General features: G+C 35.6%; 1 protein-coding gene across 1 annotated transcript in view; it reads right to left on the reverse strand.

The window, feature by feature from the left end:
* Window positions 1-24,826, reverse strand: part of TMPRSS11D (transmembrane serine protease 11D) — a 63,127-nt gene that overhangs the window by 37,011 nt on the left and 1,290 nt on the right. Inside the window, exon 2 of the mRNA NM_004262.3 lies at window positions 1,671-1,792. Within this exon, the coding sequence (NP_004253.1) occupies window positions 1,671-1,792 (122 nt within the window). The remainder of the gene's footprint in view (window positions 1-1,670; window positions 1,793-24,826) is intronic.

The raw sequence follows: 24,826 nt of genomic DNA on the forward strand, positions 1-24,826 counted from the left end.
GATAAATACTCAAAGGGCTGTATACCTCAAATACCCTGGCTTGATCATTACACATTGTATACATGTAACAAAATATCACATGTATTCCAGAAATATGTAAGATATTATGTTTCATTAAAACAACAAAAACAACAACGACAACAGGGGTCTTCCAGAGGACCTATTCAGCTGTGTGAAGGAGATAAAAGTCTCTGAAACATATCTGTACACAACTCAGAAATACTATGAAGATGTACATAACCTAATGGAATCTGTCTAGAATAAAAATGTCTACTTTCTTTTGATCGTTCATATGCATTACTTACGCAGACAAATACCTTGGTAAGGGGCAAGAGTTGGAGATCCTGGGGGAAGGGTGGTTGTTTGTAGTGGAAGATCAAGTCATTTGGGGGCCATAAGTGATCACTGGAACACAGTTTGCAGATGACTTACCAAGGGGCCTACTCTTTAAGCATGACAATGCCGTGTCATTAAGAGTGAAAATTCATTAATTTAACCTGAAACTCCATGTCTCTTTTTTCTACCTCTGTAGTTCACCTTAGGGGTAGGTGACTCCAGGTGATTTGATAGCAAAATGCAGTCAAAAGCAAAAATTTAGCCATAACCTTTACATTTGATTGGCTGAAATGATTGTGTATCATTATTGGTATTTCTAATGTTGGTAATTTTATTGCACCATTGGAAGTATTTCAATCTTTGCATAGTTAAGCATTTTTGCCTGTTTACAATTGGACATACTATAAGTTATATTCTTTCTCTTTTTCTCTTAACACTCACACATACCCATGTACACACCTGCACACCCGTACACATGATTTAAGTGATTTAATAGAATTATATTTGAAATAAAAATAACCTCAAAGTGTATTTTAAGTGAAAAAAATTCTAATATATGATATTATTTAGTAAAATTTGACACATTTTACATATCTATGTTAAAGCATCTGAAAGAGCCTTCACAGAGATTTTTAAGGAAAGTTGTTTATGAATGAGCATGATATGTGTATTCTTTACATTATTTTTTCTTGTCCACATTGTCTATTTTTAGTGATATAATAATAAAAAATTAAACAAAACAAAAGAGACAACTAAAGAACATAATGTTTTAAAAAGTTTGACTTTACCCCTTTTAACATCTCAACTGAAAATTTATCTCCTGACCATCCTAACTGTTAGGCTTGTAAGACACTGTTTTCAGAAGACAGAAGCATTATTTGTTAATAAGAATGGACAAATACTTAGGTACATCCAAATTTTAGATGTTGAAACTTAAGGTTCTTTGAAATATTTCACTGTTATGATTTTATCAGGTTATCAATGAAGGAAATCATAGTATTAATGAAAAACAAAATGAGTAAATTTTAGCATCAGAAAATTATTGAGAGTTTTTTTTTCCTTTGGATAGAATAATTCTTTTTTGAGTAACAATGTTTGGTATACTCAAAAGGTATGTTTGGGGCACTAAAAATGGCCAAAATAGGAAAGAGAAAAAATACTGATTCAGTAAAAATACAGATATGCATCTATATTTGGGGAAGAATTATAAGTAAGATATATAATCACATTATATTAAGAAATAAAAGCCATAGTAAAAGAAAGAATGCCAGACTTTAAATCTGAAATTGTATGTAGCTATTAAATCTGAAGAGTAATAATGTTCTGGTACTTACCAAAAGCTAAAAAGTAAACAAGTAGAGCTATGGTGACTGCCAGGATCACTACCCCTGCGACGACAATGAAACATACTACATATGGATTCAGAAATCTTGAAGTCGAAGTTACACGTGCTGGCCTTACAAGAGAGAGAGATCAAAGAAAGTCATTCATTTCACTGATTTCATCCATCATTTTAGTGTTCATGATTGTCTTCTGTCTTTCCCGGTCTCTTATCTGGGACATGGCTCTAGCCATAGAAACATATTCGTAGATATGAAACTGAACTTAACAAGGCTGTCCGTAGTGGTTTTTCTTTCAAGTTTTTTTTTTCAGCACAAAATGAATGAAATTCAAGTAGTCTGATGGAAGAAGAGGGAAATCTGACTTATGGTTTGGAGTTGCTTTCCTTTCTGCCAATTGATAAAGTTTTTGAGAATAACAACAAATCATTGTCAGTTCTACTGCAATGTCTTCCAAAATTCTATGCTGGACATTACTGTAGTAATCAACCTTGCCTGGGCACCATCCCCAAGGCTGTACTGAAGAGAGATCATTTGGGTGGGAAGAAGTGTCGAGGAAGATAAAGAAGCAGGGGTGGGGTGGTGAGGGGGTCAGGACGGTAGCATTTCTCATTGCAAGATTCCCCATATTATTAAAAATCGGCAGAGGCATAGAGCTAGGATCGGGGAGAATAGCAAGTAACTGAAATGAAACAGAACTGCTCCAATAGCCAATGATGTATTTGATTTATCATATTTTCCCCATGAATTTGTACTAATACATAGTCACACACACTGACACTGGGGAAGTCACCAGGGGAGCTGGATGTGAATTCCAGTTTTACCCTTTGTTTGCTTGGAGGTCATATTGTCATTTATCTGAGATTTTCTTTATCTGAAAAATAGGAATAATAATACCTACCTCAAAAGGCTGTTTTGAAGATTAAGTGGGTCATGTTACGTGTTATAAAGTATATATTTCTAGTTCAATAGGTTATCCACTTGGCTGTGAACACCTTGAAGGTAAAGATAATATTCATGCCTATGTTTAACATAGGCAAACTGTTTAACACTTTGCAGAATGCTTGGGTGATATAGGTGTTTTGTAAATATTTATGATATTTATAAATATTTATCGCCTGTGTTAATTCTTGACATGTTTCAGATTTAAAAGCCTCAATAGAGCTGAGAAGCAATTATATGTAGGCATATTCTAATTTTCATATTTTTGTATTTTGTTTTGCCAACATTCTGGTATAAGTGAGAAGGGTATGTTCTGAGGGTCAGTGCTGTGGGATACATTTCACTGCAATGTTGCCTGGTATTGTTTGGGCTCTACTCAACTCACAAGCCTATAATAGGGCACTTCTTGATATTTTGTATTGTGCCACCTGCACATTGTATGCTGTGGCACTGGAACTAGTAACATTTCAGAAGACTGTTGGAAGCAGACATAGACTTGCCAATTTTCCATTTTGTTGAATAAACACAGGACACTTTATAAAAATTGACCATGTTCAAGCATGATCACTTTTAAAAAGAGCATTTAAGTATATAACATAGAAAATAACCTCAGAAAAATTTATTAAATGCTATAACTTTATGATGTCTTTTTGCTATATTTGTCTTATTTGTTCATTTTGCTACACTAGTGAAAACTGGCTTTCCCTGACATGGGTTGAGAGTCCAGTGTTCAACAACCACTACTGTAGTAATTTTCTAGTTGAAGAAAACTGTCACTTTGACATTTGCTAACTATTTGAGTTTCAGCTTACCCATTTGTTACCTCATGGGGTTATTGTGCCTGTTACATGCAATCACAAATGCATAGTGTCTGGTATTTGTGATTTCAGTAATTAATAGTGGCTGCTGAGTAGTGAAAGAGTTAAAAATAGACAGAGTTGGAGGCAAATGTAACTCCAAAGGCTAAAGAAATCTCAAATTGTTCCTTTCTGCAACAATTAGGGATTGATTTTGTTTCCAGAGATGAGCTGATATGTCAGGATCTGTAAGCGTGGAGTGAGAAGAACTGTAAAGAAGGATTAAGTTGGAGGCTAAAATCTCCAAAAAAAGAAATCAAAAGGCTAGAGTCAATATGTGCTTTAACTTGGATGAGCCTCCCACGGGAATAACATTACAGCCAATTTTGCTTTCAGTTCACGAAAAACGTCTTGAACTCAATAACTGAAAAGCACCATGAGACATATGACTCAACAAACAAAGGGTGTGGAGCCCAAATTACCTTACGCTCACAAGCCATAACTAATTACATAAGAATGAATTGTTCCACCCTATAGAAACAACTGAGGAAATAGCATGTTTCAACTTTCAATAGCATGTTCAACTTCTAGTTGAACCTCTGAACGTTGCTAACACAAACTAAATTGTGTATAATATTTACTCTAAATATGTTTGTAAACACTGAATTTTCATTCATAATGCAATGGAAATCTGTGAAAGAAAATATATTGCTTTTAAAGCAGGGTCTTGGTCAGTTAGATTTTTAGTACTTGCATTTAAAACAGCAAAGCAAATATTCTATTGTGACCCATTTACCCAGTTTCCCTCTCACTCTTTCTCTTTTTTATTGACTTGAAAAAATTGCATGAGGGTGGAAAATTTATCTTTTTATACTTTTATTGTGAAAGCCTATCTGCCAGGCATTGTACAAGTACGTTGTCAATCTTCATGATCTTTTCATAGCTTTGTAAATTCTGTATTACGATTGCATTTTAAATATAGGAAAGGTGAGACTCAGAGAGTGAATAACTTATGTTTATTCAGGAGTGACAGAGCTGGAAACAGAAACCAGGTAAGTTTGAATAAAGACACATGAACTTCCGCTCACATACACTTTGTCCCTAAGTACATTGCTTCACACTACAGAGAATGGAAAAGCTTTGGGTTTCACGTCTCTCCTGACCTCACTTGGGGGAAGCAAAGGGAATCAATAGCTATTAATAATATATTTCTTAAGATATATCTTCAGCCCAGACCTCTCTCTTTGAACTGCACATCATCATTTCCAATTACTAATTGAACGTGTTATGGGTGCTTTACAACCACCTTAAATAGAAAAGTTCAAAACCACAATAGCGAAGACTTGGAACCAACCCAAATGTCCAACAATGATAGACTGGATTAAGAAAATGTGGCACATATACACCATGGAATACTATGCAGCCATAAAAATTGATGAGTTCATGTCCTTTGTAGGGACATAGATGAAGCTGGAAACCATCATTCTCAGCAAACTATCGCAAGGACAAAAAACCAAACACCGCATGTTCTCGCTCATAGGTGGGAATTGAACAATGAGAACACTTGGACACAGGGAGGGGAACATCACACACCGGGGACTGTTGTGGGGTGGGGGAGAGGGGAGGGATAGCATTAGGAGATATACCTAATGTAAATGACGAGTTAATGGGTGCAGCACAACAACATGGCACATGCATACATATGTAACAAAGCTGCACGTTACCCTAGAACTTAAAGTATAATAAAAAAATATATATAAAATAATAATAAAAAAATAAAAATAAAAAAAGGAAGTCACAGCAGCAAACTTAGATCTCAGTACAACTCATAACTCTTATGCTCAAACCATGACCTTGGGCAACTACACTGTGTCTTTAATTAATACATGTAAAAACTGATCAGAATGGAGCTCAGAACCTGATATACATGCAATAGCTGTTGGTTATTATTATTGCCAGTCATAGTGTTGGCAATTATGTCTCAATTTCCTTTTCTAACAAATAGAAAACCAAAACTGGTCTTGCTCAAAAAAAAAAAAAAAAAAGAAAAGAAAAGTTCAAAACCGAACGTGGTATTTTTTCTCCCATTGGACTATAGTGTTTGAGGATATGCCCAGGGTTGTATTAAAGAATTTTTCTGCAAGACATTTTTTCCAATTAAAACATGATCATTTCTTATTTATTTAAAATTTCCTTTGTTCTGATATCAGTCATGTCTTTCAAATGAAGGAAATGAGATATGAAAGATTTCTTTAATTGATTTTAAACTTCTAAGCACAGTGTTTAATTCCTACATCATAAAACACTTCTAAGGGGATGTGAAAAGGGAACTAGACTAGAGCTAGGAGATGTGGATTCAAGTACTCTTTCTGTCAAATATCAGCTATGTGATCTCACATTAATCGTAACTATTTTAAGCTTCAGATTTCAAAAAAATTTAAATGATAAAGACAATACCTTCCTCATAATTTGATTTTTTAAAATAAAATAAAATGGTGTATATACCAATGATTTGTAAACTGGAATTTAAGGTATTATTATAGAGGCAACTGAAGTATAACAGCAAGATACCTAGAACTGAAGATTTTTCTGCCAGTAACTGTTGTATGAGCTTGGATGAGTCCTTTTAACATTGTGGAATCTTAGTCCCCCTGCGACATGTTGGTGATAACAACAGTTATTGTACAGTATATGTTGTGAGAATTAGAGCAGATGGCATGCATGCTGTATAAACTATAAAGGGCTAAATAACCATAAAAAACTTTAGAGAAAAATAAATTTTTAATTAATTAGTTTAATTTATTTATTACTATTTTTATTTAAACTTACACTATCAAGAGAAAAAAGCGCATTTCTTTAAAGTATTCAGTATTACCTGTTTACCGATTTACCTATTTCACTTTTTCTCCACACTTTTTATTTTGCTCTATATCATTCTTATCACACAGGTAACTTTATAGTAAAGAAGAGGAATGTGTTGACACCTATCTCCATTGAGGTACTTTTGGAGTACAAGAGTCAATACTAGTTTTCTATTCTTCTGTAGTAATTAATTTCTTAACTCTCTAGACTGGCTCTGCAAGAAATGCTCAAAGGAATTCTAAACATGGGAATGAAAGATCGATACTCACCTATCATAAAAATACATGAAAGTATAAAACTCACTTGTCTTATAAAACAAAGAAATGAGAAAGAGAAAGAAACAAAATGGCAATATGACAGAACTCCACCAAACCATGGGGCTTATAAAACAATTACAGAAATGACAGAAAAGAAATAAAATGGCTGCATGACAGAACTCCTCCAACTATATGCTGCTTATAAAAAACTTAACTTACTGATAAAGGCACTTATAGACTAAAGGCAGAGGTATAGAAAAATATATTCCACACAGATGAAAACCAAAAGAGAATAGAAGTAGCTATGTTTATATCAGATAAAACAAGGTTTAAATCAACAGTAGTAAAAAAAGACAAAGAAAGTTATTACATGATAACAGAATCGACTCAACAAGAAGACATAACAATCCTAAATGTATACATATCCAACACTAGAGCACCCATATTCATAAAACAAATATTACCACACTTAAGAGATAGACAGGAATACAATAATGATGGAGAACTTCAACACCCCCATTGACAGTACTAGACAGATCATCGAGACAGAAAATCAACAAAGAAACACTGGACTTAAATTGGACTTAGACCAAATGGACCTAATAGACATTTACAGAAAATTCTGCCCAACTATCACAGAATATACATTTTTATCAGTACATGGAACATTCTCCAAGATAGATCATATATTAGGCCACAAAACAAGTCTGAAGAAACTTTAAAAAATCAAAATCATATTTGATATATTCTCAAATTACAATGGTCTACAACTAGAAATCAATACCAGGAGGAACTCTTAAAACTATATAAAAACATGAAAAAAAAACCCAACATGCTCCTGAATGATCTTTGGGTCAATAACAAAATAAAGAGGGGATTTAAAAAAATTTTGAAATGAATGAAAATGGAGACAAAACATACCAAACCCTCTAAAATATAGCAAAAACAGTGCTAAGAGGGAATTTTATATCATTAAATCCCAATGATGTACCTTAAGGAACTAGAAAAACAAGAACAAACCAAACTCTAAACTAGCAGAAGAAAATAAATAACAATGATCAGAGCAGAACTAAATAAAATTTAGACCAAAAAATTACAAAGGATCAATGAAAGAAAAAGTTGGTTACTTGAAAAGATAAAGAAAATTGATAGACCGCTACCTAGACTAGCCAAGAAAAAAAGTGCAGATTCAAATAAACAAAATCAGAAATGAAAAAGGAAACTACAATCATATAGAAATACAAGAACCATTAGACACTACTATGAACAACTCTATGCTCACAAACTAGAAAACCTAGAGGAAATCAATAAATTCCTGGAAACATGTAACCAGGTAGAAATCTACCAGGTTTAATTTACAGATTAAACCAGGCAAAAATAGAAATCCCAAACAGACCAATAATGAGTAGTACAATTGAATAAGAAAAAAAACATCTTTCAACAACAACAAAAATCCCAGGACCAGATGCATTCACAGCCAAACTCTACAAGATGTATAAAGAAAAACTGATGCCAATCCTAATGAAATTGTTCCAAAATATTGAGGAGGAGGGAATCTTTCCGAACTCATTCTATGACTCCAGTATTACCCTGATACCAGAATGAGACAAGGGCACACACACAAGAAGGGAAAACTGTAGGTCAAAATCCTTGATGAACACTACATAAAAATCCTCAACAAAATACTAGAAAACTGAATCCAACAGCACATCAAAATGGTAATATGCCATGGTCAACTGGGTTTTATTCCAGGGATGCAAGTATGATTCAACATACACAAATTGATAAATGTGATTCACCACATAAACAGAATTAAAAACAAAACCATATGATCATCTCAATAGATACAGAAAAGGTATTTGATAAAATTTAGCATCCTTCCATGATAAAAACCCTTACAAACTAGGCATAAAGGGAGCATACCTCAAAACAATAAAAGCTATATATGATAAACCCACAGCTAACATCATACTGTACAGGGAAAAGTTGAAAGCATTCCACCGAAGAATTGGAACAAGGCAAGGATGACCACTTTCATCACGTCTATCAAACACATTATGTGAAGTCGTAAAGAGCTATCAGGCAAGAGAAAAAATAAGATATCCAACTTGGAAAAGAGGAAGTCAAATTATCTCTACTGACAATATGATCTTATACCTAGAAAATCCTAAGACTCCTCCAAAAGACTCCTAGATTTGATAAATGACTTCAGGAATGTCTCGGGATACAAAATCAATGTACAAAAATCAGTAGCATTTTTATACATCAATAATGACCAAGCTGAGAACCAAATCAAGAAGTCAATCCTATTTATAATAGATTAAAAAATAAAATATATCGGAATATATTTAACCAAGGAAGTAAAAGATCTCTACAAGGAAAATTAAAAAACACTGATAAAAGAAATGGAGATGATACAAACAAATGGAAAACCATCCCATGCTCATGCATCGGAAGAATCAATGTCATTAAAATGACCATACTTCTCAAAGCAATCTACAAATTCAATTAAATCCCTATCACAATACCAATGTCATTTTTCACAGAATTAGAAAAAAAATCCTAAAATTCATATAAAACCAAAAAAAGAGCCAAAGAGCCAAAGCAATTCTAAGCAAAAAGAGCAAAGCTGGAGGTATCATATGACATGACTTCAAATTATACTACAAAGCTATAGTAACCAAAACAGCATCATACTGGCATAAAAATAAACACATAGATCAATGAAACAGAATAGAGAACCCAGAAATAAAGCCACTTACCTACAGCCAACGGACCTTTGACAAAGTCGACAAAAACATACACTGGGGAAAGGACACCCCATTTAATAAATGGTGGTGGTAAAATTGGACTGCTGTATATCAAAGAATAAAACTGGACCTCTATCTCTCACCATATGTAAAAATTAAGTCAAGATGGATTAAAGACTTAAATTTATGATCTGAAACTATTAAAATGCTAGAAGAAGATGTAGGGAAAACTTTTGGACATTAACCTAGGCAAAGAATTTATGACGAAGTCCTCAAAAGCAAATGCAACAAAATAAAAATAGACAAATGATACTTACTTAAACTAAAAAGCTTCTGCACAGCAAAAGAAATAATCAGCAGAGTGAACAGACAACCTGAAAATGGGAGAAAATATTTGCAAGCTATGCATCTTACAAAACACTAATGTCTAGAATCTATAAGGAACTCAAATAACAACAGCAAAATAACACAATAACCCCCTTAAAGAGTGGGCTAAGGACATGAATAGACATTTCTCAAGAGACATACAAATAGCCACAAACAAATGAAAAAAATGCTCAATATCACTAATCAGAGAAGTGCAAATTAAAACCACGATGAGATAAACTGTTACACCAGTTGGAATGGTTATTAGAAAGTCAAGGTATAACATGTTGGTGAGGATGCAGAGAAAAGGGAACACTTACACACTTTTGGTGGAAAAGTAAATTAGTAAAACCTCTATGAAAAACAATGTGGAGACTTCTCAAATAATTAAAAATAGAACTACCCTTTGATCCAGCAATCCAACTATTGGGTATCTACCCAAAGGAAAAGAAATTATATCAAAAATTACCTGTACTCATATGTTTATTGCAGCACTATTTATAATAGCAAAGATGTGTATTAAACCTAAGTGTCTATCAACAGATCACTAGATAGAGAAATATATATATATATGAATACTACTCAACCATAAAAGGAATAAAATCATGTCTTTTACAGCAATATGGATGGAACTGGAGGCTATTATCTTAGGTGAAACAACTCAGAAACAAAAAGTCAAATATTGCATGTTCTCACTTATACATGGGAGCTAAATAATGTGCACGCATGGACAGAGAGAGTAGAATAATGGAGACATGAAAGAGTGGGAGGGGAAAGAAGGATGAGAAATTACTTAATGTGTACAGTGTATCCTATTCAGGTGATGGCTACACTAAAAGCCCAGACTTCATAACAGTGCAATACCTCCATGTAACAAAACTGCACTACTACCCCTTAAAACTATTATAAAAATTCCTTCACTCGGAGGAGGGAGGAGGAAATGCCACCAATCTTCATAGAACATGTGACATGTGAGCTATGCCTTGAAAGACGGGTAGGCCCTCTGGGTAAATGAAGAAACGGGAACAGAAGAGGTAGAAGTGCAAAGTATGTTTGGCGAAAAGTAGTTGGCCCAGTGTGGTGGTTATAGGAAAGCAGATGGAAAATAATCTAGAAAAATAAGTCTGGTCAAGATTATAGAAGACTTTGTGAGTAATGGGTTTGGACTCTTTCTTGGCTTTAGGGTATCAATGAGCTTTTTGAAATGAGAAGTTAAAGAAAGCAGCAGTGTTTTAGAAAGGTTAATCTGGTGGCCCAGTTGGGCTGCAAGAGGCGGGAGTTATGAGGCAGGAGGTCTCATTGTGCAGACAAATTTATTAGTCCAGTAATGGGATATGAAGTGCTAAGGGCCATGTAGGGGCTATGTGTGTGGAAAAGAAAGGTTTGAGGAAAATATTGAAGATGAAAAATTAGAACCATTCCCTGCTAGAGAATTCAGTGCCAAGGGCAAGAGTGGAAGTCCAAGATGAAACTTTGAAGATTGAGCTTGCGTGACTGGGGATTTAGTTATACTCGTCACATGACTAGACAATTTGAGTTGTTTTGAGATGTTCTAATAATAATTTTCACTTCAGTAACTGTTAGTATTTTTGTGTTAATTCCCAGCAGTCAGCTGTTAAGATGGGTCTTGGCTGAGCAAAGGTCTTGGGACTGGAAGTGTTCTTTTTGAAGTCATTATCTTAGAGGTAGTATTTGAAGCTCTGAAAAAGAGTATTGGAAACCACTCATTTCACTGCCTTTGGATTAAAAAATACAGGCCTACAATATAAATCTCTAGGCATATTTGTAGACACACATGAATTTGATATAATAAAGAATTTCCCATTACTATAGCCTTAGGTATCTAGTAATAAGAAGAAACAACTGGCAATTATGATTACCTATACGCTATATAATTTATAATAATGTATGTAACCTATAATATATATGCAATATTACAAGTATATAATTTAGGCAGCTATCAATTAATATTTATAATCATATGATCATACCATTACCATAAGTGAAATAATTTTACATGTGAGACTAAAAACACAGACAGTGATTTATGACCGAGGGAAAATGAAACTTTACTGTGGCTTACAAATAGAAAAGAAGGAAATATGAAATTTGGTCTGTACTTCATTTACTAGCATATGCTAATTCTTCAAGAGTTACTAATAATGAATGAAAACAACATAAATAATTACTCATGCTGGCTGCTTGGGTGTGTGGTTATTTAATAAGTTGGTAGAAGGACCACACCTATTACATTAAGCCATCAATCAGTAGCTGGTTATTTTAGGTACTTACGACATGGTATAATGAGACCAAGGTCAAAGGTTTAATTTTATATAGATCTTCCCCATTAGTTCACAGATATAGGCTCAGCCCTTATTCTTATTTGCTATTTTGCAAATCTGTGCTCCTTTTTTTAGCAAACACCCTCCCCTGCCAAAAATGGAAGGAAGTCTCTAATTAAAAAAGATGGTTTTGGCACAAGCTACCCTACCTGTGGTGCTACACTGATCACCCACTAAGGACTTCATGCTCAGTTTCATACGCTTTTCTTGTGTGTGGCAATATCGTTTTTGCATATTTTAAGATTTTCTAGAATATTTAAAGTAAAATTTTTATAGTGAACATGTTTATTAGACATCCAGGATAACCATGGGTATTTATCTTGTAATATTTTGCCTCTTAATTTCTTGGTACTGCATCAAGACACTACTTCCAGGAATTTCTAATGTGGTTCCATATCTCGTTAAGTCTCTGACTTTATGTCTAACTTCACTCTACCTCCATATCCTATTCCAGACATCCTGGCCTCTCTGCCGCTCCTCAAGCACAATAGGCCCTCTCTACCTCTGGGACTTTGTGCTTGCTCTTCCGTCTGCCTGGAACACTCTTACCTCAGGTTTTCACAGGGCTTGCTCCCTGGCCTCTTGTATGTCTTTGCTCAATTGATGTCTTCTCAGTGAGACCTTGCTGACTACTCTATTAAAAATTGCACCTCCGGCCGGGCGCGGTGGCCCACGCCTGTAATCCCAGCACTTGGGGAGGCTGAGGCGGGCGGATCACGAGGTCAGGAGATCGAGACCATCCTGGCTAACATGGTGAAACCCAGTCTCTACTAAAAATACAAAAAATTAGCCGGGCGTGGTGGCGGGCGCCTATAGTCCCAGCTACTCAGGAGGCTGAGGCAGGAGACTGGCGTGAACCCGGGAGGCGGAGCTTGCAGTGAGCGGAGATGGCGCCACTGCATTCCAGCTTGGGTAATAGAGCGAGACCCTGTCTCAAAAAAAAAAAAAAAAAATTGCACCTCCTCTCTCTGCTTTATTATTATTTGCTTTATTATTTTGCAGTACACTTATAACTTTCTAATATACCCCACAATTTACTTATTTTGTTTGTTATCTGTCTCCCTCCGCCAGTTAAGAAGCTCCATAAAGGTGAGGATTTTTATGTTCCTTCCTTCCTACCAACTCATTAATAATGCCTTTATTTTAAAAGATGGTTGAACTCATTACTCTGGCTTCTAGTATATTTAATACATTCAAGAACTGTTCCTAGGAAGGCATTGGCTAGGAGCAGGAATTGATTCTCGTATTGAAAAGTCTATAAAGGAAGGTGATGAATACCAAGCCAAGAGTCTTTATTCATTAGTCAAGCTAATTTGTAGCCTTTTCAGGGAAAGAATTTCTTGACTGCAGAAGACTTATTTAAAGAAACTCAAAGTGTTTCCCTTTCAAGTCAGAGCTGTGATACAGCTCTGCACTCATAATTTGCAAGGCAAGAATTTTCAGATGCTGTTTCTGATCCTCATATGCTGTATATCTTATTTTAAACTGAAGGAGATGGTATATCTGTATTGTCACTCTCATACCTCATCTTCCTCCAGCAATGGTATAGCTAGGAGGATGGTATAGACTGCTGAGTAGGGTTTCAAGAATGCTGCTGACACAAGTCGGTAGTTTGCCATGTTTTCCTTCACTTAGCATATATCCCCATATTTAATAATAGGGTCAGCCTTGCATGATTATTAATAGATGTCTGAAGACTACTTGCCATTTCTGTGAAGAATCAGTTGAAGACTTAAAGACATATTCTGATTACTGCTGTCTTACACTTAATATACACTTACTTTGCTAAGGAAAGTAATCTTTTCTGGCATTTTACATCTGCCCAAAGTGTGGATTCTTGCTTCCATAATTCAGATTATGAGGCCTTTTGTGTCTGCAAATGAGCATGGTGGTAACATGGTAGGGGTGGCACCATCTACAAAGGTGAATCTGCCTAAATGATTTGAAAACAACAGAACAAAGGGAAATATTTTTTTCTGGAACTTTATGATGCTAAGAGTTTAAGTAAATTTCTCTAGGAATCACCAGATTTGCAAAGTGTTGGGAGCAATACTTTGTTGACTCTACTGGTGTTTAAGAACATGTACTGAGTGTTGGTAACCTGTTTCCAAGAATCATAAGAGAGAGAGCCCTGACAGGTTAGTTATGTCCTTACTGATTAATGTTAGTTAGGGATAGCCCAACATGTACTGTAGAGGGCACTGCTGTTCAATGTTAATATTTTTTTCTGAGTTCTACAAAGTGTAGTCATTCATAGAGCCATGAAGCCCATACTAGTTTCAAAACAAGAAACAACTACTTACAGACTTGCTTGCTTCCTTGCCTATTTCCCCCCAAAATGGCCAAAATAAAATTTTTCCCTGTCTGGATTTAGTTTCCAAATAGGTAGGTTTCCTTCCTCCTTTCTTTCATTCTTTATTTTCATTTTCTTTCCTTTTTCCCCCTTTATTTTTAACTAAAGATGTTTTCTAACCTTTATTGGCACAAAATAATTTTGCTGGCTACCGTAAATTATAAAAAAATACTCATGACAGTTTAAATATGTGATATTTTATTGTAAAAATGCTCTTTGGGAAATGAGTACTTGAATATCACGTATATTTGATTATCTTTTGGGATGAGGAAAATATTTTGAAATTGGATTTTGGTGATGGTTGCACATCTCTGTACATATACTAGCGATCATTGAATTGTGCACCTTAAACACGTGAAGTTTCTGTTTTATAATTTTATTTCAATAAAGTGGTTAAAATTAAATTTATCTTTTAATGATTGTTAACTTAGTGGAATAACAAAATTACCAAGTTTCCTGTGCGTAATTGACAATGAGGGTGGACTTAAACTTCCAGAACAGAAAAAGACTCAGCCCATTCAGTTCAGGTTTCAATGCTATTTCCTAGGTAGCAATTGTTAATGAGATATTGGAATACAGGAGTGTGTTAGTATTGATGGCAAGCAATTTGTTACACATAATGGTTAAAACACATCAGAGTTTTGAAATGATTTACTTCTTATACAATTTAAACTGCTTAATTCTGGGATAATATTTCTCCTACTCACTTGCATTTTTGTTTTGTTTTGTTTTCTGGGTGGAATTACAAGTAGTGCATTGGGAATTGCTTTAAACCTGGTTGGACTCATGGAGATGTGTCACATATTTTCATCAACTGTCATGTGTCAGAGTGGATAAAGGACTGAAAAAGCCTAGAGAAAACTTCATGTTTAACCTCAAGATGCCAAATGACAAAAAGCCAATTGCTCTTTGCACATTTCCAATTCTATTTCTTCTTTTCCTTCTGTAGCCCGAACTGATGAAACAGCCCAAACTTACCAAAACACAGAAACATTTATTTCTGAAATACCCAGCATTTTGAGGAGCACAGTATTCCCAGAACTCAGGAATGTGCTGCTCTGTGAGTTCTAACTTGCCAAGGCTTTCAGTGTTTCTGCAGGAGAGGAATGGGGAAATCTATTGCACACTCAGGTTAGAGACATGTTTATTCATATTTAAATACACAAGGAAATGTCTTGCTGTACCCATCTCTTCCATTCTGGGAATCTGGGAAACTAAGCCTGTAACTTGTAGCTTGTAGAATGAATGATAGAGTAGAATAAATAAGAAAGGAATATATCATTAAATGCACAGGTTAAATAAATAAAAATCTATTAATAAAGAGCCTAAAGAAAGAAAGATGACATTTCAGCACATATTGGGTGAAATAAGTTGTTTAGTCCAGCACTTCTCAATTTTTAGTGGATATGTGAATTGCCTATTAAAATGCAAATTTTAAATTAGTTAATCTGGGTTGGACCTGAGTCTGCGTTTCCAACAAGCTCCCAGGTGATGTCAATGCTATTGGTCCAAAGACTATGTTTTGTGTAGCAAGGGTTCTAGATACAATTACATTAGAAAAGATCAGAGAAAAGTGGAGTGATTGTACTGAAGGCATAATAGATCCTTCTCTGTTTCCTAAAGCCCAAGTAAATAGGCAATCCTCTTTGCTATAGGATTATTATGAAATGTTCAAAGCCTTAACTTATTGCTTCATCAAAATATACTGACCCTATTATAGAACTACAGTCATGAAACATATAACAACATCTTTGTCAATCACAGATCGCATGTATGACAGTGGTCCCATATGACTTATACACATTTTTAATGTACCTTTTTTATATTCAGATATGTGTAGATACACAAATATTTACTATTGTGTTACAATTGCCTACAGTATTCAGTACAGTAACGTGCTATACAGGTCTGTAGCCAAGGAGTAATATGCTGCATAGTCTAGGTGTGTAATAGGTTATATCATCTAGGTGCATGTAAGTATACTCTATGATGTCTGCATAAGGACAAAATCGCCTAACGATGCATTTCTCAGAATGTTTCCCTGTCAAGTAACGCATGACTGGTGGATCCATGTTTACTTTCTATAGGACTAAATCAGTGAGGGATTTAGAAGTTCCTATACACAGCTCAGTGTGATCTGATTTGTAATGCGCAATAGAAAGTGTCAAGATATTCTCCACTCATCGTTATCTCTACAAAATGTGTCCCAAAGTGGTGAGAAATTTGGTACATTACACTCTAATGGCAGTGTTTCTTGCTCCAAATGTGTGCATCCTCCAATGTTTGATTTTACCTCTATAGATAGACCTAAACCATAACATTGGTTACAGTGTTAAAAATGTTGGAGATGGGAGTGAGGAGGTGAGAAGGGAGGCACTGTGAATGATGGAGTAGAATAAATAAGAAAGAAATATATCATTAAATGCACAGGTTCAATAAATAAAAATCTATTAATAAAGAGCCTAAAGAAAGGAAGATGACATTTCAACACATATTGGGTGAAATAATTCAGAGGAGATGATAGAGTAGGGAATCCAGAAATTTACTGAAATTATTTTCTCACAGCAACTAGTTGAGGGTCATTTAGTAGAGAGGAGTGGATACTGGAATCAGAGCCTCATTTGTATTCATCATGGTTCATTCTATTTAACTATATCTACTAAATCATAATTGTTCTCATAGAAAAAAAAGGTGACTTTTAGTGAATCATGGACCAAACCCAATATTAGTTCTTTGAAATGTGCTTGAGTAATATTTAGTTGCATCAATATATTTTTAAAAACAACATCTTGCATTCAATCCCTTCTGAATTTAATCCTACTGGCTTCTTGCCTAGATTGTCTTCAGAAACACAGGAAAGAATCAAGCTTCTCAGTTTTATTTTCCCAGGAGGATTTTGTATTATAATGAAATGAACAGAGTTCCAAGGTCTATGGAATGAATACTTTTGATGCCTATACAATGTGTTCCTCAGAGCTTACGAAAGATGTTGCACATATATTCTCTTATCCAGGGAGGCAGTATGCATACTGGCAGGGTGAAAGGGGAAAGCTGTTGTAATCAGAAAAAGCTGCTCGACAGGAGGCAAATCCCTTCTTTGGATTTCAGTTTTCTTCCTTGTCATTGAATGAAGAATCAGCAAGTTTCTTCATCACCTTCACACCGTTCTCTCCATCCTCCCTTCTTAACAAGAAGGTTCCTTCTTCCTTCCCATGGCTAGCCCATGGATAGATCCTCCCACGACTCCTACACACTCTCAATCTTTGCAAACACTTTATTCCCCTGGAAGGTCTGTCTGCTCGTATATTTATTACCTGTCTCCCCATCCGCAACCCGTCCCTACAAATAAACTGTTCCGTGAGAGAGACAGCGCAGCTGAGAGCACAGACCCTGAGACTGGACTAATTGGGTTCAAATCCCATTTCTGCCATTTATTTGCTGTGTGAACCTGGGAAGTCACCTAACTCCTCAATTTCCTTGTTTGCAAAACGGAAGTGACAGTAGTACCCACCTCCTTGTTATGAGTCCAGTGAATTAAAAACTTGTTAACACAACTCAAATAATGTCTGGCATTTGGCCCTATGTCAGTGGTTGGTAAATCAAATAAATGAAAGCAAGCACTGACTGATTTGTTTTCTGCTGTATCTCCCAAAGTATTTAATGATCTGTTCATTAAGTGAATCTGTACAGTAAAAGGATAGGTTAGATGATGGAAGGTAGGCTCTGTCTACCTTGTGAATCTTGCCATGGAATCTAATACTGGCACAAAGAGTCACATAAAAAAGAGATTTCTTTCTGTCTCCTGAACAAATGTACTTGTTTACTCTCTTTCTTCTCTTTTTATATAAAGATTATTATGAAACACTAGTCCTGTCCAGGGGCCTGTGTTTTTAATTACTACACAGGCAATGCAGAAAGGTAATATATTACAATAGTAATAACCATGAGTTTTATAATCAGACAGATCCATGTGATCACTGGGAAGTAACAAAACCTCTCTGAACCTTAGTTTCCTCATTCATAAAATGGAGATAGTCACATGCCTCAGAGGGTTTTGAAGATTAAATGAGATACTGTTTATAAAGTACTTAGATTCTGTTGTATGTTCAATAAATTGTAAATTTGGTAGTCTTTCTATATGTAGAACCTAACTTTGGCTAAAAATAATATATATTTTTAACATACAATAGAATATATACATTTTATTTTTATTTTAAAATATTTAATTGACAAATACAATTTTACATATTCAAGGTGTACGACATGATATATTTTTATAATAACATTTTATAAGATTGACAGCATTTTGTGGAATCATAGCATGTTAGCAATGGAAGAGAGTTTCAAAAATATCCACTCTGACTTTGCTATTATGCAGATAAATAAAGTGATCTGCAGTGAGATTAAGTGGTACCACAGAGGGGCCAGCATTTAGACCTCTTGACTTTTTTGTCTGTGCTTTTTTTCTGAAGCCTTATTGTTTTTTGCAACCCAAGACATGGTGGGTGCTCTATAGATACAGTGCTTATTGAATGAATGTTGGAAAAACTAATAGCTATTGAATACTTATTGCAATATTCTGCCAAGCACTTAGGACATTTTTTTAATTGCCAAATAATTGTCCTTCCCTTGAAGTACTCATGTCTTACTGAAGAAGGATATTACATAGCCCCCTTAGCAGCATTTCCCACCCTTGAATATCCCTTTTTATTGAAACACTCTTTTTCTTTTGATTTCCATAATTCCATACTCTTTTTCTTTCTGACCCCATCTGTTCTCTAAATATCTTTTGGGTGTGGGTAGGTGACGGAGGAAACAAGACTGGCTGCTGAGGTGTGGTAACTTGAAACGGGCGATAGGTATGAGGATTCATTCTATTGTGCTCTGTACTTCGTTATATCTTTAAAATATTCTATAATTAAAAAAATTTTTTTTTAAATCTTTTGCTAATTGCATCTCCTCTAGTCAACCTAAGTGTCTGGTGTTGCTCCATGCTCTGTCCTGGGTGTTCTCCTTTCTCTAGTTGATCTCATTCAGTCAGTTTCAATTACCATCTAAGCCAATGGTTCTCAAATTTTTGTGTGCGTAAGAATTACTTGAAGACTTGGAAAAGTGCAAATTCCTGTACTGAATCCAGTACCCACCCAGACTATTTCAGTAGGTCTGGTCTTGCATCTCAGAGTTCTGCATTTTATACAAGTAGCCTGGGGGATTCAGAGAGAGATAAACCAAAAATTACGCCTGAGAAACATTGATCTGTACGTGATTTTCAGACTACAATATCCAGCTGTATCTTTCACATATCTCTATTCAGTGCTTAGAATTCAGCATTTGCAAAGCTGAATTGATCATCTTCTTTCTGATTCTCACAACCTTCCTTTGCCCCGTCAAATAGGCCCTTTTCTGGCATTTTCTTTCTCAGTAAATGATGCCAAAATTCACCAAGTTACTCATGTGAAAAACCTGAAAATTATACTTGACACCTCTCTCATCCCTCACATCCAGTTGAATGTCAAATCTGGTTCTTTCGACTTCTTAGACATATCTCAAGTTGTATTGCAAGTCCCACCACTTTATCCAAGCCACGTTTATCCTTTTCCTGAAATACTGAACTAGGCTCCAACTAGTCTCCCTTCATCAAAAGATATCTCCTTTCTCCACAGAGATTGTTCTCTATATGAAGCTAGAATCATCTTTTAAAAACCATCATGGCACATGTATACCTATGTAACAAACCTGCACATTCTGCACATGTACCCCAGAACTTAAAGTATAATAAAAAATGAAAACGGGGTAATTTATAAAGAAAAAAATTCTAATGTAGTAACATCTCTGCCCTGCTATGTCTTTAACAATTTTGTGTTTGAGGATGTAATGCCAGATTCTTAATATAGTCTTCAAAAACCAGCATGATCTGTTTCTTGCCTGCCTTTAAGTTTCTGCTTAAACAATGCTTCCTCAGAGAAGTCTTCCATGAGCTTCTAGACTGGTTTAGTTTTCACTATTATAATACTTATTTCAGTGTCATCGTATTAAACAAATCATAATGAAATTACATATTTCCATGTTAATCACTGGAACAGTTGTCTTTTGGATTGGAAGGTTTGTAGTTTTCAGTAAAGACTACCTTTTGCTCTACTGAGATTTCCACAGAGTAAATGTTTTCAGTGATGGTTGTTTCCATTTATCTTGATTACCCAAAGTCCTTAAACTTTTCTTCATAGCACCACAACTATAATTAGATAGGTATTTGTCTAATGTATTTTAGTGTCTGTCTTCCCAGCAAGCACCATGAGAAAAAGGTCTGGGCCTTTTTGTTCCAGTGCTGTATATCTAGCACCTAACAGCTCTTCACTCAAATTAGACACTCAATGAATGAATGAATGAATAAAGTATAATATAAGGAGTAATTGGCCAGGCACAGTGGCTCACACCTGTAATCCCAGCACTTTGGGAGGCCGAGGTGGGCAGATCATGAGGTCAGGAGTTTGAGACCAGCCTGACCAACATGGTGAAACCCCGTCTCTACTAAAAATACAAAAATTGGCTGGGCGTGGTGGCACGTGCCTGTAATTCCAGCTACACTCAGGAGGCTAAGGCAGGAGAATCACTTGAACCCAGGAGGCAGAGGTCGCAGTGAGCCGAGATTGCACCACTGCACTCCAGCCTTGGGGAGAGAGGGAGACTCTGTCTCAAAAAACATATATGGAGTAATTATATATATCATAAAAGATGTATAAGTAGAAATAAAGCACTAGGATATTTAGGATTCAAATGGTTTATTTTGCCATATGATATTAAAAGTTGCTTTGAAGTAAGAGCATTTTGTGTTTTCCAGTGAATGACAGTGGACTTAAGGGACATTAGGGACATTCCCTAATGTCCTAGGGAATCATTAGCTTATGTAATATTGCAAACCATGAGACTGGTGGAATCACACAGAATGTAAGAAGAAGAAAAACATTTAAGGCTGGGCGCAGTGGCTCACGCCTGTAATCCCAACACTTTGGGAGGCTGAGGCTGGCGGATCACGAGGTCAGGAGATCGAGACCATCCTGGCTAACACAGTGAAACCCCATCTCTACTAAAAATACAAAAAATTAGCCGGGCGCAGTGGTAGGCGCCTGTAGACCCAGCTACTCGGCAGGCTGAAGAAGGAGAATGGCATGAACCCGGGAGGCAGAGCTTGCAGATAAGGCCACTGCACTCCAGCCTGGGCGACAGAGCGAGACTCCTTCTCAAAAAAAAAAAAAAAAAAGAAAAGCACTTAAACTCTGGGGACAGGAAAATTAGTAGAATCTAGTAACAGAAACTGAGAAAGTTTGACCCATGGGATAAGCAAAAAACCAGGAAAGAATGGTGTTTTGGAAGCTTTGTGAAGATCACGTTTCAAGAAAAGAATGGTCTCTGGTGGAGTGATTATGTAAACTCACTGAGATCTGACCACTGGATTTTGCAATTTGGAGCAAGACAAGAGCTATTTCAGAGCTGTGAAGATCAGAAACTATTTGCACTGGGAAAAGGGAGGATAGATTAAAGATAAAAATGCATATACCATGTGACTCGGAAAATCTATTTCTAGGAACATATCCAAGAGAAACTCTTGCATGTTTGTACCATTGGACCCGTGTAAGACTATTCAGTGCTACATTATCTGTAATGGCAATATACTAGAAAAGTCGATATTTAAGTTATGGGTCAGGCTTACAAAGAAATATTATACAGCTATGAACATGAATAAGCTATGCACACTTTATTGTATATAACATATATAATATTGATCTCATTTATATGACTTTCAAAGGCAGGTAGAATTAAACCATAAGTTTTTTAGGAATATATCCGTGAATGGTGAAACCATGAAGAAAATGAAAGAAATTAAGATACCATGCCACGTAACAGTTACATTGTGAAAGGTGGGGAAAGGTCAGTTCGTAGACAGGAGGTGCCCATGGGGTCTTCTAAGATACTGGTGATGCTATTTTTATTAATAGATGTCTCGTACCAAGAGGTTCACTTTTTAAAATTAGACTTTAAATGTGATGTGTTTAATAATAAAAAATTAAAAAGCAAAAGGAGAGAATGGAGGAAGAAAATAAAAATAGAGGCAATAGGTTTAGACAGATCTTTAGAATAGTTTTGCTTTTAAGAGCAGGAGATGAGAAATGACACAATAGCTGGACAGGAGATATGGGTCAAGGGAGGGATTTTTTTTTAATTGGGGATAGTATGGCGTGTCTTTATGCTGACAAATATTCAGTAGAGAAGGAAACATTACATCTTAATTTATTCTTGCACTATTAAATTCAGGTAGATATCTTGGCTAAGAAGTAAACTTGTCAGAATAAAAACTTGTCTAGTTTAGGAAAAATATACTCGGTGGCTTTTATTTATTTATAATTTTTAATCTTTTTTTTTGAGACAGGTTTTTGCTCTGTCACCCCAGCTGGAGTGCAGTGGCATGATCATAGCTCACTGCAACACTGAACTTCTGGATCCAAGTGATCCTCCTACCTCGGCCTTCAGGGAATACAGGGAATACTTGTACCACCATGCCCATCAATGACTTATTGCTCCACTGTCTTGAGCCCTGAGTGCATATATTATTTTATTAATCATTGATACGCTTGTTCAAACCTCTGGCAAATGGATATTGTAAATATTCCATAGAATCTGCTTTTTCTTTCTGCTGAATGACTCATCAGTATAAACTTTTCCAAAGTCCATTTTTATTTACAACTATCTTAGGCAGTTATCCAATTAATGACTTTAGATTTGGGATGGTGCTTTTGTTTTACATGTCATGAGCATATACTAAAGCTAGAGAAGGAATACTCCCCAAAACTGTGAAATCATGCCAAGTCTTCTTTGCTCAAAAGAATGGGATCCTTCAAATGGGAGCAATACCTTTTAAGAAATTGGATTGGATAACTGTAGGTTCCCTTACAGCAGTAAATATTGAATGAATCCCTTCCTTATGACTTATTTTAGGGGTGCCAGTCATAGCAATTTGGGAGTTGCAGTAGTGTGTTAAGTAAGCAATGAATTACTGAGAAAATAGATTGGGAGTGCCTTCTGGAAGACAAGTTGGCAGTGGCATGGGATAATTTGCTAGAAAATATATAATCCCAGATGACTGACTGCAGCTGATCTTCCTGTATGCAGGCCCGTCCCACACCATCATTAGAAAAACATTTGGGCCAAATGCAGCAGCTGTTTTAGCATGTGGCTCAAGATTTTATAGGCAACAACTTGTACTAGAAATGCACTATTTTGGGCTTCATGACTGTAAATACAAATTGGTGTCCACCTGCCTAATTTCTATGAAGAAATATGTTCTTTGCCTAATGATTTACAATTTTAAGCATGTTTTTCTGAGTTCCTATAGCAGTTCAAAAACCAGGATTGAAACAACAGGCAGGATTTGGAATGCGTTTTTGACAGCGATGGCTCGTCCCCCCGCCAACTTTTGTCTCAGGTTCTTTTGGACTGTTGGGAGGCAGGGCATCTGATTGTCTTTGGCATGTCTCTGCAGTCAGTTAATCATGTCTTGAGCACAGACAAAAGGGAAGAAAATGGAAACAAGATTTGTTTGGTAGGAGGAGTCCTGCTAAGACTTGTCTGTCCCTGAGCTGAGATATGCTCATTTACCTTAAATCTTTCCATAAACTACATTCCAAATTCCAGTTTATAAATCTTTATCCTATTTCCCAAACCTCATCTCACACGTTTTCTGTAATCTGGTGGGCACAGATATTCCCTTGGTGAACCTGAGAAAATCTAGAGTGACCAAGGATCTGAAATGAGTAACACAGCTGTTCAGGTTCCTGGGCCCTACGGTAGGATTTCCTTCTTCAGACAAGGGAAGAAGGTAGATAAAGAAAGGAGCATTTCATCTTGCAGCAGCATGGAAGAGAGCTGGGAGTTTAATTTTTTATAAAAAAAGCAATCAAACCATCCAAGGCAGCCAATTTTCAACCAAAAGTATTTCAGAATTACCTGAAGATTTATCTAAAATTATGCCAAAATTACCTACAATTACCTAAAAAAAGTATATTGTACAATTTAATTTTCCTTCTGTTATTTGATATGAATACCTAGCTGCTATTTATTAGTAGTAGATACAGGCTATTAAAGAGATAAAATATTCCAAAAAGTGTGATCCTTAGAAACCAAAATTCCACAGAAGAGTTATTTGTAATTGGCAAGGTTGGCTCTGATTGAGTGTCAAATTTCCTGTACAATGATGGATCAACTTAGAAATTTGATTGATTCAAAGCCTTCTGAAATTGTACAACTCTTTCAGGATTTGTATCATTTACATGTCTTCTTTTATTATTTTCCATTGAATGATGTTTTGATATACACTTGACTGCTTATAAGGGCAATATTTTAAAATCAGAGTAATTTCTTTAAAATTAAAATATTTCAGCAAAATACATTTTAAAATGCACTATATTACCCAAATAATATTACACTTA

This window comes from Homo sapiens, chromosome 4, assembly GCF_000001405.40.
Source record: "Homo sapiens chromosome 4, GRCh38.p14 Primary Assembly".
NCBI lineage: Eukaryota > Metazoa > Chordata > Mammalia > Primates > Hominidae > Homo > Homo sapiens.